At 36.6% G+C, this 25,139-nt stretch overlaps 1 protein-coding gene across 4 annotated transcripts in view; it reads left to right on the top strand.

Annotated features, from left to right (window-relative positions):
- UNC5C (unc-5 netrin receptor C) overlaps nucleotides 1–25,139 on the top strand; it is a 386,470-nt gene that overhangs the window by 209,618 nt on the left and 151,713 nt on the right. For all 4 annotated transcript variants that reach the window (NM_003728.4, XM_005263321.4, XM_047416346.1 and 1 more), the window contains one exon: nucleotides 3,725–3,946. In NM_003728.4, the coding sequence (NP_003719.3) occupies nucleotides 3,725–3,946 (222 nt within the window). The remainder of the gene's footprint in view (nucleotides 1–3,724; nucleotides 3,947–25,139) is intronic.

The raw sequence follows: 25,139 nt of genomic DNA, 5'->3' as shown, positions 1-25,139 counted from the left end.
TCCTTTAATGCCCTGAAAAAGTAAAAATTTTAGCATGGCAGGGATTTTACTTATTTTGGAACAGAGGACCTTTGATGGGCACTAGGGAACATCCAAAGGAAGGCCACAGACACATAAAGTCACACACCTTCCCTTGCACACCATTGCAAATACGCTTGCTTAGAGAATTGATATGAGCCTGAGTTTCTCAGTCTGAACAATTGTGTTTTCCTTTAGAAAATAGCTAATTACCACAAGAAGCTGGAAAACAAACTAAGTTCCAAAATGAATATCCAGTAATAAAGATGCAATTTCATTTTTCAGACTTTCCATGAAGTGAGATGCTCATTTACCTGACATTTGTAGACAGGGCTGGTTTCACGGGTATGTGACCTCTGCTGTCACACAGGACCAGTGTTTGGTTTAATGTTCTGCTGTCACAATCTCAGAATTCTTAATAAATTTTTAATCAGGGATCTTGAACTTTCATTCTACACCGGGCCACACAAATTTTGTAGCCAGTCCTGTTTGTAGATATTTCTATTGTTAAAACATCTTATAATTGTAAATGAATCTGAGGCACTATAAACTCTAAAATTCCTTGTGAATCTCTTAGGAATGATCAAAGTTGCCATTAGTATAATATTCATGCATTTGTAAGATTTTTATTGACCCCATATAATGTGCTAGACTTAGGGAAAATGAAAATGAAATCAATATAGTCCCTGCTTTCAAAGAGTTTCATCTCTAGTGTTAAGCATTTATTGTATATTTCAAGTTTTTTGAAAATTGGTAATAGTCTTATAAAACCAATTGCAAAACTGAAAAGTAGATTCCTCCACTTGTATGACTGGCAAATGCATTACACAGAGGAGCTAAATATTCATGTAGGATAAATAGTATTTGTAGCTGATCACTTTATCTTTAAATACATGTAGCTATAGTCATGCTGGATGTTTAAATTAAAGTTTTCATCTATTATTTCAGTTGAAGAGAATTGGCTTGCTTGTTTCATTTTCAAAACTTTCTCTAGAATAGAAAAAAGTTAGGATACAGTTTCGTAAAAAGATGATTTCTAAAATAACACTGTATCTGAGAATTAATGCTGAAACTTGACAGTTTTCTATGGAGCAAGAATCAGAAAGTGTTCTTTTAGTATGTTAACTTGATGGTGGGACCAACTTCGATGGTTGAGTAAGGTACCCAGCTCATTTTTGTATGTGGAGAAGGCAAGGATTTCACAACAGGGGTGAGCCCACTGATAATCAGCTTATTTGCATTTTATCATATCTGTCCCACTGTACATATCTACTAAATCAAGTTCTTGAATTTTCTATATTAATATCATTCTCAACAACTGAGTTGAGTAATAGAAGTGATATGCCATATTGCCTATAACAGGAATTCATCCAGGGCATAGGCTTGACTTTACTTTGTGAATATTATAGGAAATCTTAATAAACTACTATGCTGTGGTTGGCTAAGGCATCTCTCTAGATAAACTTTTAACGATTGATTCTGCAGAAACTATAATGATATGCAAAGAAAAACTGGATTTATTAAATTAAAACATTTCTAATGATAGAAATCTTCCTTAATAAGTTGCATTTTCAAGTGTTAACAAACATCTTGAAAAATCAATAACTGTGTGAAACCTCAAACCAAGATATAGGTTCATCTCTCTTTACTTGTGGTGATCATGTTGTCTTAAAAGTCAAAATTAAGGAAATACAAAGTTAGTTTGCCCATACATTTTCTAAATATATTGTTAAATTATCACTTTTTTCCCAGCATTTAACAGAGCTGCTTTTGACTTGAAAATGTGTGACTTTTTTGCTTCCATTTGTCTTTTCAGTAGTTTACAATAAAATAATCAGAAGAAAGAGATACATGCTTTGGCAAGGCAGAGTAATCAATTTTTAGTGCCTATGAAGTTTTTCTATAGCATGTGAACATTTAAATACTTTTGCTATATTATTGAATAAGGTAAGGTAGTATACAATCATCTGTATCTTGCAATCATTCCTTTTCAAGTTTTACCTTCTGAAACAATGGCTGAAAGATTTATTATACTTTGCATGCTTAAATAAATAGTTATTAAATACAGTCACATGTTTTATGTGTACAAACATAGTTAAAAAATAAAGTCTAGTTGACCTTCCACCTTCATAAATAGTAATAATTAAAACCAACAGCTAACTTCTATAGAATTTGAGTCATGTTTTGCGGAGCTTTATTGATTATCAGCACTGTCCATCATCACATATAACAGTAAGTGCTTTAGAAGAAAAAAAATTGGTTAAGACCTTCAAGACATCAGTTTCATGCTGATGGATTTGTCAATAGTTCAGTTCCTCATCCCTTTGCCTTTCTGAGCTATGTTTATTTAAGCAGTCTTGAATGTTCTTGCATATTGACTAAAGGAGCTGCAATTGATGGAAACAAGGTTATTCTTTAGTAAGCTGACAATTTTGGTCCTTGATGTTCAACAATGGAAAAACTAGAAATGATGCCCTGCCAAAAGAAAGCAAATTAAGGAGGTAAAGTGAGAAGAAATATCTAGGTATAGGAAACAACATTTACATTTCAGTGTCAAAAATTTACTACTGTGGGCAGCTTGGAATGCTAGTTTTGTCAGTGATGCAAGTGAAGTCAATTTTTACTGCAAAACAGAGTAGCAGAGACCGGACATCATTACTATTTGACAGCTATCTTATGACTTGAATGAAAAAAGTTCCAAGCCAGTTTTCTTAGTGGACAGATGTCCACTATACCAATGGCTATCTTCCAACACAGGGCAACAACTGAAGGAGAAATAAAATGACTTTCAAGACAATATGTGAGCAACCAGCCTTTAAGTACCAATACCATGCTCTATATTTACTACTGAATATACGTACATTTAAAGAACTTGTAAAAAAATTTTAATTTTGACATCAGAGTTTTCAATTACGTATTTGTAACCAGTTTGGGGAATTAGTAATAGCTCTGTTCTCCTCTGTCCCAATTGGAAGATTATTATTAGGCTGAACTTATTTATGGTGTGTTGGAAAGACTGTTTTTACCTTGACTTTTGTAAAACACAATAATAGGTTTTATTATAAAAAGCACATTTATTATTAATTTTTTATTTTGAATCATGCAGAATCCAGGTTTAAAATGTATCTCAAAGTGTGCAAATTATCTAAAGTGGTTTTTAAATTTTGGGTTGAATGAATATTTCACACAATGACATCTTTTGAAAATAACAACAGATTTGAATTGGAACGTAAATATCCTTAATTAAAGTTTCTAATATTTCTGCTCGGCTCCTTGCAAAGTGTGTAAGCTTTATCTATGAGCCTTATGATTTTCAAATACATGTTTCTAATGAAGTTGCTCTTGCTTTTGTCTGCTCTCAAGGGTGACACTCTATAATGGGAAATGTAGTGATACATTGGGAAGATCATGGTTTTTAATTGAGATACACATGAATTCCAGTTTCAGCTCTGCTATTTACTACCTATGTGCTCAGGGCAACTTACTTATCCTCCCTGATGTTGAGTTTTGCTGTGTATAGAAATGGGAATAATAATCCATATCCTTAAATGACCAGTCAATAGATCTAACATACAGCCTGGCACACAGCAGGCATTCAAATCACTTAATTACTGCATTTATAAGTCACTATTTTTACATGACTAGCAAGTAGAAGGCAAGTTGTTACAATGTGTTAACCATCTTCCACTTTCTTCTTCTTTCTCAGATGATGACTTTTTTCATGAACTCCCAGAAACTTTTCCTTCTGATCCACCTGAGCCTCTGCCACATTTCCTTATTGAGCCTGAAGAAGCTTATATTGTGAAGAATAAGCCCGTGAACCTGTACTGTAAAGCAAGCCCTGCCACCCAGATCTATTTCAAGTGTAATAGTGAATGGGTTCATCAGAAGGACCACATAGTAGATGAAAGAGTAGATGAAACTTCCGGTGAGTTTTCCATTGCATTTGCATTGCACTTCAAGATTCACTTACTCACTACTCTAGCATGTGGACATACTGTTATTTCAATTAGTGGAATGGAAAATGGAGTTATTCTCTGACAAAAAGTTTTGAATTGGTTTGGTTAAGGTTTGGTGATCTTGTTTCATGTGTTGAAAAGTAAAATGGTGTGAATAAATCTTGACTTGCTTCCTGTTGGACTACATGAAATTAAAACATGGTTCATACTTAAGAAGATAAATAATGCGAATGAATAGACTGACAATGTTAAATGCCCAAGCAAATAATAATATTCTTGAATTGCACCTGCGTGGTAGTCAGATCTAAATATCCCGAGATCTGGGGAGCATTTTTAACTTGGATAAATTGAACGTGTTTACATTAATGTCTAATGTTAATCCATGTGCATAGTTTGCCCTTATATTTGTTAAGGATTTGTAAATGTCATAGATTCAAAGTATCTTATACTCATAACTTACATCCAAAGTGAATCCTAACTTCCTAACTCTTATCTAAAATTAAATTGAGGGTGATTCAGAACAGTGATAGTGTAGGATTCATGAACAGAAGAAATGGTAATTGTAGCCCTTTCTCAGAGGGTCTTGATCTGATTATCTTTGCCCCTGGCTTGGTTAAAACTCCTGACTTTGCTGCTCTGTAAATACCATCCTTAAAGATAAAATACTAAAGGCAAAGAAAGGATGGAGTAGATTCTAATAACCTGTGGGATTTCAATTAGATATAAAGGATAGCAATTTTCTGCTACACAATGGATAAATTAGGGTAGTTGTGGAATCTCCTGGAGTTCTTTTAAATTGGAAACATATATATCTTTCCATGGTAGCATACGTGTTTTTGCTCTCCAGCAGACAGAATAACTCTTTGAACTTTCAGATCTCTTCCAGACTTATGATTTTGTAATGTTGACATATATTTAAGTATTAATACTTTATTATTCAACATTTTCAAGCCAAAGAATATCAAGCATGACAAAAATTGAAGCATTTAAATATCTTTTTTACCCTTACTAGATATCTCTCTGAACCAAAATGGATACACATGTTCAAAATCCAAATTGTAAATAATTCATATTTGTTCCCAAATGTTGGATTAACCAGAGACAAGTAGAGACCAGCACTTGAGGGCTCTACTTTCTACTTTCAAGATCTCCGACAAGATAAATAGCATATTGATGTGACAGAACATAAAGAAATAGAACAGACTATGAGAGGACTGAGAAGAGGCAACTTTTTAAAAAGCATGTAGGACATATTCTTTATAACATAAATGGTCTTTGGAAAATCAGGTGGCAACTCTACATAATTGCTTGTCAATTTGTGAATCAATATGCTCACTGAATGCAAGCTGATGACTGCAGATATAACTGGGTATCCAATTATAGGGTAGCTTACTTCAGGGAATTGTCCCACCTCTTGGTCTAATTACTCAGAAAATAACTCCACCAGATGTCTTCAAAATCTCAAGTGGATTGAGTTTTATTTGTTTCAGCTCATGTATTTGTATAGATTTCAAACAAATAAGCTTTAATGATAAAAGGAAAGAGAAATAACAAAAACTCAAATACGTTACAACATATTCAGGCTTATCTTTACTAAAATAATGACATGCCTATATAGGAAGATTATAAATAGAAACAAAACTATTCTTTTTTTATTATTATACTTTAAGTTTTAGGGTACATGTGCACAATGTGCAGGTTAGTTACATATGTATACATGTGCCATGTTGGTGTGCTGCACCCATTAACTGGTCATTTAGAATTAGGTATATCTCCTAATGCTATCCCTCGCCCCTCCCCCCACCCCACAATAGTCCGCAGAGTGTGATGTTCCCCTTCCTGTGTCCATGTGTTCTCATTGTTCAATTCCCACCTATGAGTGAGAACATGTGGTGTTTGGTTTTTTGTCCTTGTGATAGTTTACTGAGAATGATGATTTCCAATTTCATCCATGTCCCTACAAATGACATGAACTCATCATTTTTTATGACTGCATAGTATTCCATGGTGTATATATGCCACATTTTCTTAATCCAATCTATCGTTGTTGGACATTTGGGTTGGTTCCAAGTCTTTGCTATTGTGAATAATGCCTCAATAAACATACGTGTGCATGTGTCTTTATAGCAGCATGATTTATAGTCCTTTGGGTATATACCCAGTAATGGGATGGCTGGGTCAAATGGTATTTCCAGTTCTAGATCCCTGAGGAATCGCCACACTGACTTCCGCAATGGTTGAACTAGTTTACAGTCCCACAAACAGTGTAAAAGTGTTCCTATTTCTCCACACCCTCTCTAGCACCTACTGCTTCCTGACTTTTTAATGATTGCCATTCTAACTGGTGTGGGATGGTATCTCATTGTGGTTTTGATTTGCATTTCTCTGATGGCCAGTGATGGTGAGCCTTTTTTCGTGTGTTTTTTGGCTACATAAATGTCTTCTTTTGAGAGGTGTCTGTTCATGTCCTTTGCCCACTTTTTGATGGGGTTGTTTGTTTTTTTCTTGTAAATTTGTTTGAGTTCATTGAGATTCTGGATATTAGCCCTTTGTCAGATGAGTAGGTTGTGAAAATTTTCTCCCATTTTGTAGGTTGCCTGTTCACTCTGATGGTAGTTTCTTTTGCTGTGCAGAAGCTCTTTAGTTTAATTAGATCCCATTTGTCAATTTTGGCTTTTGTTGCCATTGCTTTTGGTGTTTTAGACATGAAGTCCTTGCCCATGCCTATGTCCTGAATGGTAATGCCTAGGTTTTCTTCTAGGGTTTTTATGCTTTTAGGTCTAACGTTTAAGTCTTTAATCCATCTTGAATGAATTTTTGTATAAGGTGTAAGGAAGGGATCCAGTTTCAGCTTTCTACATATGGCTAGCCAGTTCTCCCAGCACCACGTATTAAATAGGGAATCCTTTCCCCATTGCTTGTTTTTCTCAGGTTTGTCAAAGATCAGATAGTTGTAGATATGTGGCATTATTTCTGAGGGCTCTGTTCTGTTCCATTGATCTATATCTCTGTTTTGGTACCAGTACCATGCTGTTTTGGTTACTGTAGCCTTGCAGTATAGTTTGAAGTCAGGTAGTGTGATGCCTCCAGCTTTGTTCTTTTGGCTTAGGATTGACTTGGCGATGCGGGCTCTTTTTTGGTTCAATATGAACTTTAAAGTAGTTTTTTCCAATTCTGTGAAGAAAGTCATTGGTAGCTTGATGGGGATGGCACTGAATCTATAAATTACCTTGGGCAGTATGGCCATTTTCATGATATTGATTCTTCCTACCCATGAGCATGGAATGTTGTTCCCTTTGTTTGTATCCTCTTTTATTTCATTGAGCAGTGGTTTGTAGTTCTCCTTGAAGAGGTCCTTCACGTCCCTTGTAAGTTGGATTCCTAGGTATTTTATTCTCTTTGAAGCAATTGTGAATGGGAGTTCACTCATGATTTGGCTCTCTGTTTGTCTGTTGTTGGTGTATAAGAATGCCTGTGATTTTTGTACATTGATTTTGTATCCTGAGACTTTGAGAAATGAAACTATTCTAATATCGAACGCTTATAACAATTTCATGCTATGTTGGTAACACACCCACACACACATATACACATATATTGAGAGAGATTTCTTCTCTGTGAAATCTTTATTTTTTATAATTGTACATAAAAATTAATTAATATTACATACATCAATGAATAAGACTACCTTATAAATTAACTGTAAACTAAAATAGTTTGCATGTTTTCATTTAAATTCAGGAGAGATAGATGAGAACTAAGAGAAGATTTAGGAAATTCAGTACTTTCTCAGTTCTCCTGAGATTCAGGAATGGAGTAATATACAACATAGCTTTATTAGGAGCTTTCATTTTCATCCAGAACTTTACAGAAAAGGCCAGCATCCAGCCAAAGGCTGACATACTAGACTCATGTAGGTATTACCTTTAAAGTTTTGAAAAACTTGGTGGGAATGTACATTAGTACAACCTCTATAGAAAACAGTATGGAGATTTCTCAGAGAACTAAAAATAGAACACCATTTAATCCAGCAATACCACTACTTGGCATCTACCCAAAGGAAAAGAAATCATTACATCAAAAAGATACCTGCACTCATATGTTTTTCATAGCTCTATTCACAATAGCAAAGATAGGGAATCAACCCAAGTACCCATCAGTGGATAATCAGATAAGGAAAATGTGATATATACAAACAATAGAATACTATTCATCCATAAAAAAGACTGAAACCATGTCTTTTGCAGCAACATGGATGGAACTGGAAGCCATTATCTTAAGTGAAGTAACTCAGACCCAGAAATATATTAATAAATGCCACATATTCTCACTTGTGAGAGCTAAATAATGTGTACATGTGGATGTTGAGTGTGAAATGATAGACAACAGAGACTCAGAAGGATGCAGGTGGGTGAGGGGGGTTGGTAATGAGAAATTACTTAATAGGTACAGTGTATGTTATTCAGGTGATGGATACCCCAAAAGCCCTGACTTTACCACTATACAATCTATTCATGCAACAAATTATACTTATATCCCATAAATTACTACAAATAAAAAGAATGAAGTTAGGAAAAAGGCAAAGATGCCCACAGATACCATTATTAATTGGTATTATTCTAATCTACTAGCCAGTGCCATTAGACAACACAAGTAATGAAGAGGTACAAAAATAGTGAAGAAAGTAGAAAATTATCATTTATGACAAATTATGTGATTTTTTACTCCTGGAAAATGTATGCATTTTAAAAGAAAAAAAATCTTTAAATGAAGAGAATAGAGAAAATAGGTGATAAAAAATTTGTATCACCAACCAACTTTCCTATGTACAGACAGCCAATTCAAATTAAAATGCAGTAAAAGATGTCATTTAGAATAGCTATGTAAAAGAAAACATGTAGGTATATACTTATCAAAAATTTTGCAGAATTTTATAAAGGAAATTTAAAAATCCTACTTAGAGGCAAAAAAGATATCATGACTTACATTAAGGAAAGACATATTCTTGAATGGAAAGGTCGAATATGTTTAAATGTCTAATGCTTATAAATGAATCTGTAATGTCACCATCATTTTATTAAAAATAATTTGGGAAAATAGCTGAGATAATTCTTAAATAGTAGAGTAATGAGGAAAACCCAACTCATTATAAATATAATGCTAAAGAAGTTAAAAGAGTTTGATCTTAGCAGAGGACAAAACGTACAGATTAATAGATTAAAATAGAGATCAAGAAACACTAAAAGACCTAAGGCATTTGTACCTATTACATTACCTAGAATGTAATAAAGATCAGTTTTTCAACCAGTGAGGAAAATAGTTTATTCAATACATGAATTGATATAACAAGATAGGAAGTTGGAAATAGAAAAATAATAAAGAAAACTTGAATCTATCTCATTCTTTAGAATAAAATAAATGCTAGATGTTGGGGCTTAAAATCATCATCATCATCGCCACCATCACCATCATCATTAGTAGAAAATTTGGCAGTTGGTTGGTTGGTTTCAGTGGTGGGCATAGTCTTTTAAATTAAGACACACAATCTATAAGTCTTACAGGAAGGCATTATTAAATTTGAATATCCAAAGCAAGAAAACCACAAACAAAACCAAGAGACAGATTTAAAAACTAGTTATAGTATCTGTGGCTATATATTAGCCAAAGGGCTAATTTTATAAATACATAAATATCTCCTAAACTATATTTAAGGAAAAGATCAGCAACCGAATAGAAAATCGAGCAGAGTTGTTGATATAACAAGATACAGGAACAGCAATGTAAATGGTAATTAAGTATCTAAGGAGATGTCATCAGGATCCAAACATTTGTTAATATGTAGTGTTGATTAAAGGCATAATTTCTTGATGGGTGTTTAAATTGATACAATCTTTTTGAAGGCCCATTTGAAAATACCATCAATATTGAAAGGTATATAGATTTCACTGATTAGTTACAAACCTAGGAACTATCTGAAAATATAATTCCAAATGTGCACAAAGCTTGTCCATTGAACCTTCATTGCTGTTGCATAGCAGGGACTGTTTATCCCTACTGTGATACTTTTAAATTTATTTTTTATTTTTCTGGAAACAGTGTCTTCCTCTGTCTTCCAGGCTGGAATGCAGTGGCATGATCATAGCTCACTGCAAGCTTCAAACTCCTGGGCTCAAGTGATCCTCCCACCTCAGCCTCCCAAATAGCTACAACTACAGGCACACCACCATGCCTGACTAATTTTTCATTTTTTGTAGAGATGGGGTCTTGCTATGTTGCCCAGGCTGGTCTCCAAACTCCTGTGCTCAAGTGATCCTGCTGCCTTAGCCTCCCAATGCACTGGTGAGAGAGGAGAGTTCCCTCCACCCCTTCTGGGACATGGAACAGGGGTATGGCTCATTTACTCTTTAAGCCACACTCAAACAGCTTTCGAGAGGGGGAGCATGCAGGTGAGGGGGTGCAGGAGCTGGGGCGAGTGCCTTTGGGCTCCAGCAGGAAGGAACCCTTTACCAGCCTGCAGCAGTGAGTAGAAGTTGCCTAAAATTTTCTTTTTTGGTTGTGTCTCTGCCCGGCTTTGGTATCATAAATCAAAACCACTATGAGATATCATCTCACACCAGTTAGAATGGCAATCATTAAAAAGTCAGGAAACAACAGGTGCTGGAGAGGATGTGGAGAAATAGGAACACTTTGACACTGTTGGTGGGACTGTCAACTAGTTCAACCATTGTGGAAGTCAGTGTGGCGATTCCTCAGGGATCTAGAACTAGAAATACCATTTGACCCAGCCATCCCATTACTGGGTATATACCCAAAGGACTATAAATCATGCTGCTATAAAGACACATGCACACGTATGTTTATTGAGGCATTATTCACAATAGCAAAGACTTGGAACCAACCCAAATGTCCAACAATGATAGACTGGATTAAGAAAATGTGGCACATATACACCATGGAATACTATGCAGTCATAAAAAATGATGAGTTCATGTCCTTTGTAGGGACATGGATGAAATTGGAAACCATCATTCTCAGTAAACTATCGCAAGAGCAAAAAACCAAACACCGCATATTCTCACGCATAGGTGGGAATTGAACAATGAGATCACATGGACACAGGAAGGGGAATATCACACTCTGGGGACTGTGGTGGGGTCGGGGGAGGGGGGAGGGATAGCATTGGGAGATATACCTAATGCTAGATGACACGTTAGTGGGTGCAGTGCACCAGCATGGCACATGTATACATATGTAACTAACCTGCACAATGTGCACATGTACCCTAAAACTTAAAGTATAATAAAAAAAAAAAAAAATTAAAAAAAAAAAAAAAAAAAAGAAGTTGCCTGTGACAGAGCTCTGGAGCCCCAGAGGGCACATGTTATAAACAATGCTATTTTAGCTTTGCCTCCACGGATGGCTTAAATGTTAACAGCTCCGTGAAGAGTCAGTGTGACAGCCTTTTTGGGTTCCTGCACCCAGTGTGTCCTGAATTCTTTTTCATCATTAAGGAAGAATCAGGTCACAGGAACAGTTTATGAATGTAGAGGATTTTATTAAGTGGCAGAAGTGGCTCTCAGCAGAAGGGGAGCTGGAAGGAGGATGGTATGGGAAGAAGGTGATCTTTCTGTGAAGCCCGGCCATCTGCGGCCAGGCTCCTCTCCAAAGTCATGCAGTCAGAAGTTATACTGCCCCATATCACTGGGGCTACAGGGGAAGAGGCCCTAATACATTTTAAAACAATGAGGTTGCTCCAGATATGAAGCTATAGAAAACTCTCTGAGATAAAATTTAGAATGAAAGCCAAAGTAGAGAACACTGTGTGTGATATGCTTCCATGTATAAAGAAAGAGGATGCATGTATATTTGTATGTGCATTGGAATTTTTCTGGAGAAACATATAACAAGCAGTTGACAGCTCAGAGTCTGGGGTGATAAAGGGACTTTTATTGTTTGAGTTTTTTTCAATCCTGTGAATGTGTTATTTTCATAATAAATAATGAAACCTGAAAAAAAGCCCATACCACTTTATTGCCTCTCTTTGCCTGCTATCATAAATCCCCAATATGGACAAATATTGGTGGAGAAATTTGTAGGCTTTTTACGTTAAAGCTTTTTGCTTTCCTGTGAGATCAGAAATATTGTGAATGCAATTGAAATAAAGGCATTTGTTTTTTTAGGGGTGGAGGTTGGGGGGTTTTCCCTGAAGCTAGATCCACCCTGCAACTTTGGTTCTCAACTGGAGTCTGACTGTAGTATTGTTGGGGACTTAGTGGTTCTTAATAGCAAGAAATGTTAGAATACATTAAGTCTTGAAACGTATTTCAAATCAGGTAAATTTTCTTAGTATTTGAAAAAATCAAACCTGGTTATCCTATGATAAGACAGAGAAAAGACATTGCAAACAAGTTGCTTTTATACATACCTCTGACTTATAATCATATTTAGAAGGATATTTAGTGACAAGCTACATTACCTTGAGACTAAGAAAAATTGACTACATTCAATAAAATATCTATCAAAGGTAACTTCATATTAAAAACCTGCAAGACAATAAAACTTAAACAAAAATTTATTCTCCAACTCATAAAATTTTATTTTAAATTATGAAATCATTAAATAGGAAGCAAATAATTATTTCTACTCACTGAGTATATCTATCCATTGATCATAACAAAATATACTGATTGAAGATCATTCATTACCATTACTCTTTGCCTTTCCATCATTTAAACCACAGTTGCATTTCTTACATGTATGCAATATAAGAAACAGAAAAGTGGAAAGCAGCTTATAATAAATGATTCAGAAATTTTCAATATTTGAAAGTTCTTGATTTGGTAATATAGTAATACATACCTATGTTGCCTTCAAAATTCCATAGAAATCATGATCTACTCAATATTTTGTGGTTACATTTTTAAGAAGAACTCAGGCTCAGCTGTTTGCTTTCTATTTACTTGAAGCCTTTTCAACTCTTGTTTCCATGGTACCTAAGATCTACCATCTAAAAGCAAATATTTTTTTCTCTATGAAGAAGCAAAGGAGATTAGAAAACCATGGTTATGTTGAAATTGTAATAATCCCTGAGATTTTCCTTTTTCATCTTTAATTATTCTCAAGTTAGCAGAAAATATCAATAAGGTCAACACAACAAAAATAAAAGTTCCAGGCCTTATACTGAGCACCTTACATGTATTCTGTTCTTTAGTCATCACAAGTGTCTTATGAGATAATTTCTAAGATTCTCCTTTGGTAAATTAGGAATCTGAGGCTCTGCAGGATGAAGAAACAAACTTGCCTCAAATCACTTAATGAGGAAGTGACACAGCCAGGATATGAACCCAGAGCTCTCTGCTTCCAAAACCTTTGCTCTTGGCCCTGCGCCTGGTGTCTCCCTAAATTTTACCATAACTACTGAACACAGAACAGTTAGTCTAAAAAAGAGCTATGCAATACAATTATTTGTTTTCCCAGGAAGAGAAGGGCTGCTTCAGAGTGTCAGCTGTATGTGCATTTTTCATGTTTTATTTGCCTTCCTTGCCTTGTGTCAGGTTTTCCACATGCAGACCTTTGTGATTCTTTAACATAATAACATAAGCTAGTGCTTAGGGTCTGGTTTTCCATTCTTGAAGGCCTTTGCTCTTTGGCCAATTAGCAAACAGTCAGCCTTAATGGAAAAAAGGAATTGATGAAGAGAAGCTATAATTGGGCATAAATTTAAGTGAATTGCTTCTAATCAAAACCTAGACTTAGGTATACTGTGCTTACTCAAGTCCCCATTTGTTGCAGGAGTGGGAACACTGAAAATCTTCCTCCTTTTGTATTCCTGTTTCAGATACCTCTTCTCTCCATCCAGGCACCAAAAATTAAAATCTCAGCTTCATCCTTCACTCCAACAAGCAAAATGATCATCAAGTCTTGCCAATTTATTTTCAAATTATCCTTCTGTTTTAAGTCTTGCTTATACTCCCCTTCTACTCTTTAATATATAGCTCTTTGATTATCTAAATAGCCACCTACATCTTCTTTATTTTGGCCTTTTTCTTTTTCCAGCAGTTTATTCTCCAAGTAGTTATAGGCCTAAAAAACAAGCGTTCAAATGGTTTTTCCAAGTGGTTGTCATTCCCCCTCTTAAAAATATATAATGGTTTCCCTTTGTCCATGAAATAAAGCACATCCTGCTTGATCTTATCTTCAGTCTTCAGTATAATTGGCTCCTAATCAAACTTTCTAGCTTTGTCCCATAGTTTCACCTTTACCACATGCCTTATATAGTAAGCCGATATGGTTTTTCCTCTTAAACTGTCTTCAACAAACCACCAGTGTCTTATAAGTTCTTAATAGATGTTATTTTGGAAAACAAGAAAACAAAAGCTTTGCAGCCAATTTAGGAAACACTGTAGTAATTATATTCCCGTTTTGGAGAAAGTGTTAAGTCATCTTAATCCATTTGGGCTGCTGTAGCAAAATACCACAGCCTGGGTAGTTTATAAAGAACAGAAATTTATGTCTCAGAGATTTGGAGGCTGGGAAATCCAAGATCCAGCAGATTCATTGTGTGATGAGGGCCTGCTTCCTTCTAGATGGTGCCTTCTTGCTGTGTCCTTACATGGCAGAAGGGGCAAAGGGTGCCTCTCTTGCCTCTTTTATAAAAGCAGTAACTCATTCTTCATGACAATTGCCCCCATGGCCTAGTCACCTTCCAGAGGCCCCACCTCCTAATACCATCACCTAGGGAGTTAGTATTTCAACATACGAATTTGAGGGGATATGAATGAGACCATAGCAAATGTATATTAGCACAACAGTCCCCAACCTTTTTGGCAGGAGGGACCGTTTTCATGGAAAACAATTTTTCCGCAAAGTGGGAGGGGGATGATTTAGGGATGATTCAAGTACATTACATTTATTGTGCACTTTATTTCTATTATTATTACATTGTAATATATAATGGCATGATTATACAGCTCACCATAATGTAGAATCAATGGGAGCCCTGAGCTTATTTTTCTGCAACAGTCCTATCTGGGGGTGATAGGAGACAGTGACAGATCATCAGGCATTAGATTCTCATAAGGCGCATGCAACCTATATCCCTTGCATGTGCAGTTCACAATATGGTTTGTGCTCCTATGAGAATCTAATGCTGCTGCTGATCTGACAGGAGGCAGAGCTCAGGATGTAATGCTCCCTCACCTGCTGCACACCTCCTGCCATGTGGCCCGGTTCCAGTACTGGTCCCTGGCCTGGGGGTTGGGGACCTCTGTATTAGCATGTGAAAGTCTTAGGAAAGGTCTGTAGTGGGAAAACCTTATTTATTTATTTATTTATTTATTTTTTGAGATGGAGTCTCACTCTGTTGCCCAGGCTGGAGTGCAGTGGCATGATCTCGGCTCACTGCAACCTCCGCCTCCCGGGTTCAAGCGATTCTCCTGCCTCAGCCTCCCCAGCAGCTGGGACTACAGATGTGTGCCACCATGCCCAGCTAACTTTTGTATTTTTAGTAGAGACGGGGTTTCACCATGTTGGCCAGGCTGGTCTTGAACTCCTGACTTCGTGATCCACCTGCCTTGGCCTCCCAAAGTGCTGGGATTACAGGCATGAGCCACCGCACCTGACCCGAAAACCTTATTTACTATTTGTCAACTGTAATCTTTTTCACAGAATCTCTAATGAAATATCATGAGATCTTAATGTCACACCAGGAGATGATTTAGGAAATGCTGCTCACACATTTTCAAAGGGGAACTACGGGAGATCTGTATAAATTCTATCAAGTGATGCCTACTCTTTTCTTTACCCTTTTGAGCATTATAATCATAGAAACATGAAGTTTTGAGAACTATGGCAGTCATTTAGTTCAGCTTAATTAATTATTGGCATGCTCTTCATTAAATTGAGTGAAACTAATTTTTTATTATCTTGACTTTGTGGACCTACTTACGTCAGATGGAACTTCAGAAAATAAGTTTGTTCACATCCTGTCCTCTTATTATTAGTCTTAGATAACTTGAAAAAGACAATTATCACATCTCTCCCCTCTTCAGTCTAAACATTATAGCTGAAGAGAAAGCTCCATGAAATCCGGGGTCGTGTCTGTGTTTTTTACTGTTCCTGCTCCTGCTTAACATGGTGTTGGGTACTTAATAGGGGCTCAACAAATACATTTTGAATGAATTAACTATCCCTTATACCATAGTTTTCTTCACTCCACCTCTGTCAGCATCTTACTCATTCTTAAAGAAGTATCTCAAATGCAGTACTGTGAATGAATCTTTCTATATACAAACCCAAGTCATAGGTAAATATGTCCTCATTTCTGTTATTTGTACTTCCATTTTCATTACATTCATGGTGATTGTGGAAATATTTTGATAATTCATATGAAATTATCAATATTTGACCTTCGGCTTTTTCTTTTCTTTTTTTTTTTTTTTTGAGACAGAATCTCGCTCTGTCACCCAGGCTGAAGTGCAGTGGCATGATCTCGGCTCACTGCAATCTCTACCTCCTGGGTTCAAGAGATTCTCCTGCCCCAGCCTAAAAAGTAGCTGGGACTACAGATGCTGCTGGCATGCCTAGCTAATTTTTGTATTTTTGGTAGGGACGGCATTTCACTGTGTTGGCCAGGCTGGTCTCAAACTCCTGACCTCAGGTGATCCACCTGCCTCAGACTCCCAAAGTGCTGGGATTATAGGTGTGAGCCACCGTGCCTGGCCAATATTCAACCATTTTTGAAGTGCAAAAATCACAGTCTTATATTCAATATCATGTGTTATTTATTAAAGTTATATTTATGTATACATATATTAATAGATGTGCATGTATATATAATATATGTAATCTCTGTCTCTTCAACTAGATTGGAATGGTATGGTATAGTTTATATTTTGTAAAGCTTTTTCTTTTCTGTAGTTTATAACAAGGTGCTAAGCACAGGCAATGATCAATGACAGTTTATTTTCTGAGATTATAGCTACTCATCCTACTAAATTTGTGGAACTGAAATTTAGTGAGACAAACCAACAGTGTGTATTTGGAATATTTCATGAATAAGTAATTTGAGGAATACATAAAGATAGCTTAATCTTCTGTAAGAAGAGTTACTTTATACAATAAATATACCTATCACACCAATTGTTATTCTCCATGTAATCATTTTAAATTCAGTTCTCATTAACAGAGTGAACAATTTCAAAAGGAAGTTATGTGGGTTTTGCTTAAATTTTAGTAAATGATGCATAAAATTTGAAAACTCTACTTGAACCTCATTCCATAATTTTTTATTTAAGTCAGTGGGAGTATTGCCTTGGCAAGAATGGAGCTTTATATCTGTAATACAGTTGTCTGCCAATGAAGATAAATGATTCTGGAATTTAAATCAATTATTTATTTGATTTCTTTCTCAGAGGTACTTATTTCAATACCAGAAACTAACAATTTTTCTTTTCAGTATGAGGCTGGCCCCAGGGCTGAGTAAATAAAAATAGAAAATTGATAAGGACCCATGTAGTACATGAAGTCTGTTTCACTGAGTTAATCTGATAATGTCACAAGATGGTAGTTGCTGGTTAGTCATAACAGAATATCAATTGTCCCGGATTGAAAGGTGTAATGTTTTCTCACCTTTACTTTGCAATCATATTCTAGGCCATATCTGTGCAATAAATAGATGCTATTAAAATTTTCTATACAGTATGAAGATTCAAACATTAAAAATCTTCCCCATGGGATACTGAACTATATAGTTCAGCTTATTTTTCATTTATTAGTGTTCACAATTGATTCATCCTTATTTCACATTGACTTTGTCTTTAAACACCTGGGCTAACATGGCCAACATAAACTCAGCTGCAATTACAAAAACATAGTTAGATCAGAGTTCTAGAACTTATGTATTTGTTGCAGTTGCTTCTATTATATCACGCAGATGAATCTCTGCTAGCTGACTTATTTGGGCTCACCTTCTGCGTATAAACGTTTTTGTTTTCATTCTTTTTCTGACTTACAAAAAGAAGAGAAAATTGAAAATTTTTAGGCTACACATTTAGATTCTTTTTGTTTCTAATCTATTGTTGTCATGAAGTTTTTATTTTTATTGTTATTTGTTCATTTTTGGTAATTCCGATATTTGCAAATATCAGTATTATAGACCCTGTATGTACTCCAGAGCACCCCGACTATATCCTATTTGCAGAACTATGTAATTTTAATTTAATTATATCCCATGGGGAAGATTTTTAATGTTTGAATTTCATACTGTATAGAAAATTTTACTAGCATATATTTATTGCACACATATGGTCTAGAACATGATTGCAAAGTAAAGGTGAGAAAATATTACACCTTTCAATGCAATTTTAGCAAGTTGTGTTTCACTAGGGGAAAAGAGAAATTTTCTAAAATTATATACAGTGAGAGTTTTTAGTGTAAGAAACATAAAGGAATTCTCCCCTGCCAATTAACACTTAGGGCAAGGTTACTTGTAACACATAACTCCTCTTCCTTTCCACAGTGAAGATGAAAGCACTGATTAATACAATTTAATCAAGAATATGCATATAAGTAGATATGTAAGTACAGACACACATGTGTGTGTTTTTCCAAATTTAGAAGAGAAAAAATCAAATCGTGTCCACCCTCAGGCCCACGCAGAGGCTACAATAAGAAGCAGGAGTCCAAGGACCGTTCTTCATCCAGATAACATGCTACTGAAACGGACATTTCAGGAGCAAAATTAGTGATTGTGTTGCTATAGCAATTTTGCCACATGCTCAGCAACCGTGCATATGCTGTGGCCTGAGTTTTAATATGACCACTTCAAAGTGAGAATAGAACAATTGTTAAAAGCCATATTGTACTTTTTAATCTAACCTTTGGCTAAAGTATGTGAAGGGTTTAAGAAGAGTCTCTTTTACTTTCTTTTCTTTTCTTTTCTTTTTTTTTTTTTTTTGAGATGGAATTTCTCTCTTGTCACCCAGGCTGGAGTACAATGGCATGATCTCCGCTCACTGCAACCTCCACCTCCTGGGTTCAAGCAATCCTCCTGCCTCAGCCTCCCCAGTAGCTGGGATTATAGGCGCCCGCCACCACACTGGGCTAATTTTTGTATTTTTAGTAGAGACGAGGTTTTACCATGTTGGCCAGGCTGGTCTCGAACTCCTGACCTCAGGCGACCTGCCCACCTTGGCCTCCCAAAGTGCTGGGATACACAGGCGAGAGCCATCTTGTACTTTATTTTTGTGGAAGAAACATGTTTTTAAAAGTTTGGGGTTGTCATACAAAACAGATTAAGCATCATTTTAAAAGAAGTTTAAGAAACAATGTATGGTTAAAAGAGATGGTCCGCTTCCAAAAGAGCATAGCTTTTCTCCTAAAATTTAAATATTATTGTTGGGTGTCTGAACCTATTGTGCTAAATATAAGTAAACTGGTTGGTAATTATGAGATAATGATCCAGGCTGTTGTTCCATTCTATTTGTTTCTGTACCACTAAATCTTAGTACCCATTATTCTCTCAATAATTTGGTCAAAATCTTGATGCTATTTCTCTCTCCCCACCCTATCATTTTTTTGGCATCTTTGAAAACACAACAGAGAACTTTTTAGTTAAAAATTTCCACAATCGATGAACAATCAAATGTGAACCCTTGAGTTGGGAGGACATTGCTAAATAGCTCTGGATCATGTTGTCTTCCCCCGTGTTTACCATCAGTCCTGAGTCTTCCCTCAGCTAGTGATTCTCAGACCAGTCCTGGGGAAGCCTGTTGAAATATCCATTCTTGCCAGATCCTCTAAATAGTACCTTTTGGAGATGTAAAAACCAGCCCATGTAACATGAGCGCTACCATTTGCCAACTATCAGGGTCTGGCAAAAAAGTAAGCACAGCATGTAGGAAATACAGTATCTTGCAATGAAAAGCAATTCTGATGACGGAGCCTTGGACTCATTTCTAATTTCATCAAAGGCTTAACCTGATTATAAAAATTGTGTTCTGGAAGAAAGTTTCCAGAACATGAAGGCAAGAGCCGCAAGGAACTATTAGGGCAGGAAGTGTCAACCCTGGCTGCACTTGACAGTTACCAGGGGGGACTTTTGAAAACACCTAGGTCCTGGCCCCAGCCCCAGAGATAATAATTTAATTGGGAACAGGCCATAGCTTTTCCTCTGTGTTTGTTTTAAGCTCTCTAGTAATGCTAATGTACAACCAGGCTTGAAAACCAGGGTACAAGAGAGATGTTATTTATTGTAAAAGTGTGGCAGAGAGGGAGTACATAGATGTTCTGTTCAAAATCCATGACCTAGATACTTTACTTGGTGCTGTAAGTAGAGACATAACCAAGACTTGATTACTGCACTTAAGGATATTCCAGTCTGGAGGGAGCGAAAGAGAGGAGGGAAAAGAGAGATGGGGGAAAACGAGTATGCTTTACGATTTGCTCAGGCTTTCCTCTCATTCTGAGAATAAATTCATGAAACCCCTTGGTAGTCCTATGGTATAGAGTTACATGGATAGAGCTCCTGCTTTCTTCAATATCCTTTCCCCTGTCTCTGCCTATTAAACTGCTAAAGCAGAAGGATAGCAGCCTTCTGAGGGAAGTGTGGGGAACTCTCAGGCTTAAGTGAATTAAAATTTCACTGGCAAAACCCAGGGGAATGTTCTGTACAAGGCAAGTCCAGGAATGGCAGGCAATGAATGGCATGCCTCTTTTTATAGCTACACCCTGGATGACCCTGGACAATGATGCCCTCTGTATGAAGTGACCTCAGTGACTAAGAGGCTGCCTCTCCACACCCATTCGGGGGGCATTTGTGAAACCAGAAAAACACTGCATGGCAGACAGTTTTTTCTCACCTTTTTGCTCTATCAGATTTCTGCATCCAGGCTTTGAATGGACAGTAAGTGCCCTTAGTCACTGCATTTGTCTCCTAGGCTTAAAACAACAGAAATATATTTTCTCATGGTTTTGGAGGCTAGAAGTCTGAAATCCAGCAGAGCTGCCCTCCTCGGGGAGCTCCAGGGGAAAATCTGTTTCTTGTCTCTTCCAGTTTATGGTGGCTGCCCTGGCACTCCTGGGCTTCCAGCTCCATCACTGCGATCTCAGCCTCCATCTTCACGTCACCTTCTCCTCCACATCTGTCTTCCTCTCTGTGTGTCTCTTCCAAGGACTCTTGTCATTGGATTCTGGGCTCACCTGGATAATCCAGGATATTATCCTGGATTACCTAAAAGTCTTGTTTATATTTTTCAAGGTGAACATATTTTTATCTGCACTTGATCTGTATTTTCCCCTCTGCTGTCCTCCCAGGCTGTTCATCTCCTTATCTCAAGATCTTTAACTAATGACTTCTGCAAAGACCTTTTTGTCAAACAAAGTAAGATTCACAGGTCCCAGGGATTCAGACATAGACATATCCTTTGTGGGACACCATTCCGCATTCAGCCCACTACAGCCACCAAGCATTTGTCAAGAAAAAAAATCACTTAATATGACAGTGCAGGAGGGAAGTGATGGTGGAGAGACCGAGTAGGAGTGGTGGGGGTTGAAAGTAAAGGCACTTACTTACCTGGCTGTTTTTCCTCATTTGGTCGGTATTTCTAAGGTAACTATAAATGGAACAGGCAATGAAAGCATTCCCTAGTGTTCTTTACCAGCTTTCTGAGGCCTCCCCCAGTCTGCTGCCTTCTACTCGGGGCCAGAGACAGGAAGAGAACTGCTCAGCCTGGCTCTGCATAGCGCTCATTTTCCTCCTGCTCACAGCATCCTTGCCAGCCCCTGCACTGTGACAGCCATTCCGTCTCATTCTCATTGCCACGTTTCTCATACAAGTTCTTTCTCCACATTGTTGCCAAAGCCAAACCAAAATAGCCAATACAATCAAAAGAGCTTCACTTTATAATTTCCTTTACACACGCACATATACACATGCACACACACGCACACACTTATTTTTGCTTGGCCTAGCAACACAATGGGAATGTAAACACGTTGTTAATGCAGCCGCTCTCAGTTGGCTTCCCAGATGGCTTGAATTCAATAGATTTTTCCCCCTGATTTCCTCAGCTTCTCCTAGCAAGTGCTAAACAGCCATTATGCCTTTTCCTGCACATTGAGATTCATCTGCAACTACTAAACTGCCTCCAAAGTGCTTCAATTTTGCATGAGCGCTAAGCTGGGCACTGGGAGACATTACCCAGTGCTGAAGGCCCAGATCATTAGAAAGAGCATGTAAATCCTCTGAACCAGAAATAAAAAGTGCAGAGATTTCCTTTGTGAAGTCCCAACTGCTGCTTTATGTAAAACATGAACCTTTGGCAAGGTTATATGTGGTCCCATTCCCTTTTATTTTTGCTTTTTTTTTTTCTTTTATTTTGGCATATGTGTTCTTTTTTTTTCTGAGCAGTGAGATTTCCATCAGGAACATATGAAATTACAGCCATTCTCTGTCATTATTTTTCTTTTTAGGACCTCAGATCCCTCTTCACTTTTTATAGGGATAATACCTTGAAGTATTGCTAAAGGATCTCCTACATGATTGACTTTTTAAAAAACTTGCTGAATACCAAGAAACTTTGAGGTGGGATGGATTGACATTTATAAGATATGTACAGGGGACAAAAATCTATATTATTTAAGTATAGATGTAAGGAGTATGCAGATATTGGATTATGGACAGAAGTTGGAATACAAGCTAAAAGGGATTGTGAAAACTGTTAATGAGAAAGCAGTGGTTCTATTCTTCTCATTTTTTGATAGGTATTTCCCTGTGCATTATTACCTAAAAGTCTTGTTTGTATTTTTCAAGGTGAACATATTTTTATCTGCACTTGATCTGTATTTTCACCTCTGCTGTCCTCCCAAGCTGTTTGTCAGACCATCTTGCCACAAATTAAAAGTGTGCCTGCGGTCAGCTCCGAAGCGCCTATGAGAGGGTGGGGATGCTAGGCTTGGAATCCTGAGAGCCCCACGGTTTTGCATGCTGTGGGGTTGGGTCCACACTCCAAGTCCTTGGCTTTGTAACAAAAAGCACTTATGATGGACAGGTTGACTCTCCATCTTTATTTATTATTTCCTTTGCAGTAGGATTTTTTGATCAGTTGTAATAACATTTATTTTGATCTATCATGTACCCATTTAAGAGTAATAAACCAGGCTCCTTTTACATGTTTTCTCTATAATTATTTCCCTTTTTTCCATGTACATATATAGTAGGTCATGCTATCTTCCTTTTAGGATTCTGAGAGTAAAAATGTGAGCTTGATGTACACTTAATGATCAGATACAGCAGTTCATTATTTATCTCTAAACACATTTCCAAGGACATTTATTAACCACTGATTTATTCAACAGTGAATATGCAACTGAAATCTGACAGAAGTGTTACCAAATGGGCTTATAATAAGATATGAAGTAAATGCATTCCAACTTGGAAGTAAAAAGAAAATACTAGATGAATAATATGCATACAAATGCACACAGAGACATTAGGAGCCTATGTATACTCTCTGTGTAATATATCCATTTTTATGCTGAAACTCAGTTTTGTTTGTCAGCATGTTGTATGTATCCTTCAAGCTAAATATTCCTATCCGTTAATTTTCCTTTACTAAAAACATAGCTAATCATGCAAATGTCATCATCTTTATTAGTGCTAGTATCATTGCAAAATATTATTTACTATGATCCATACCTCATGGCTCTAACTGCATATATTAAATAGCTACCTTTCCTGTTCTTCTTCTAGTGGAAATTGTTTATCCACAAAAGTATGTGTCCTTTGAAGCAATACATTTGTAAAATAAAGGAAGAAGAACAAAACTTTGCCTGGAGATATGAATAGACATGATTGAAGCTGTTTGTTCGATTGTCAATATTATACAGTTACATAAATGTCTCAGGGAATTGGAGCTCATAGTGGGAAACAATCATTTTTCTTTTTTTTCTTTGTAATGCTAGTGTAGAATAGACATAAAGACATTACAAGTTCCAAAAATACTCAGAATCTGGGTTCACTCCTGACTAAGGCAGGAAGAGCTGCCCTGAACAAGGTCACCTTCCTAAGATTGTTATGACAATGAATGTACCATTCTAACATGTTTCAGCCATTCCATCTTGGGAGTAGGGGGTGTCTAAATGTTACAGCAGCTTACCATAACACAGACTTAAATGATATGGAATATAATATGCTTGGCACACAGTAGGTTTTCAGTAAATACCTATTGAATAAATGAATGAAAAAAATACTTATAAAGTCCATGAAACTTTGTTGCTTTTTTACCATGATCCAATGCTTACCTCCAAACAATTAAAATTTATTTTTAATTTGACATTTTTTTAGATACACAAAGACGGATTTCCATTAATTCTGAGGGTTTTCAAATATCTGAATATTTGATTTTAATATTATGCCCAACTGCCTCAAAATGCAGATGAATTTACTATGTGACAAAATATTATTTTCACAATTTCATGTTTGCAATATTTTTCAAAATGTATTTTCCAGTATAAATGTTGAACAAATTGACGTGAAATACTAGGTCATAGTGTTTAAGTACCATTATCATTTTCTTTACAGTCAATCATGTTTTGATGTTTTTGCAAGAGATAAAACTGAAACCACAGAAAAGTGACATCTGATTTGTGAAGAGCCTTGAATAGCAGCTAGAGAGCTCCCTGAGGGGGCTCACATTCTAGTTGGAAAGTGAAGGAAGCCTCCAGAAGACATGATTATACTCATGAATTTTATATCTTTTTTAAAATATGGATGTTAGCTTATTCTGTCCAAAATTAGTCAGAACTAACCTACTTAGTAATTTCTGTTCAATTGCTTAATGTCTCTGCCTCACCTGTGTTATTGAATAGGGATCTAGGGAATGCCTGATAGAGGAGCTGTGCAAGCATTGTGGTTGTCAAAATAAGTAGACCTTATGCACTTTGATTCTTCATGTCAGGATAGCTCCGCTATATCTACACTTCAGGATGGTGGGGTTCTGGAGGATTAGTAAAATTCCAGGTGGCTTGGCTGAAGGAGAAGAAACTTAAAGGCAACTCCCCTGAACTCATTTCTAGTGTTCAGAATCCATTTCTAAAGAACCTAGCCTCATCTGCATTGCCCTGAACAACTGAAATCTTCACTCAGACTTGACTTGCCCGAGT

This window comes from Homo sapiens, chromosome 4, assembly GCF_000001405.40.
Source record: "Homo sapiens chromosome 4, GRCh38.p14 Primary Assembly".
Classification (NCBI taxonomy): domain Eukaryota; kingdom Metazoa; phylum Chordata; class Mammalia; order Primates; family Hominidae; genus Homo; species Homo sapiens.
This window is presented reverse-complemented; position numbering and strand designations above follow the sequence as displayed.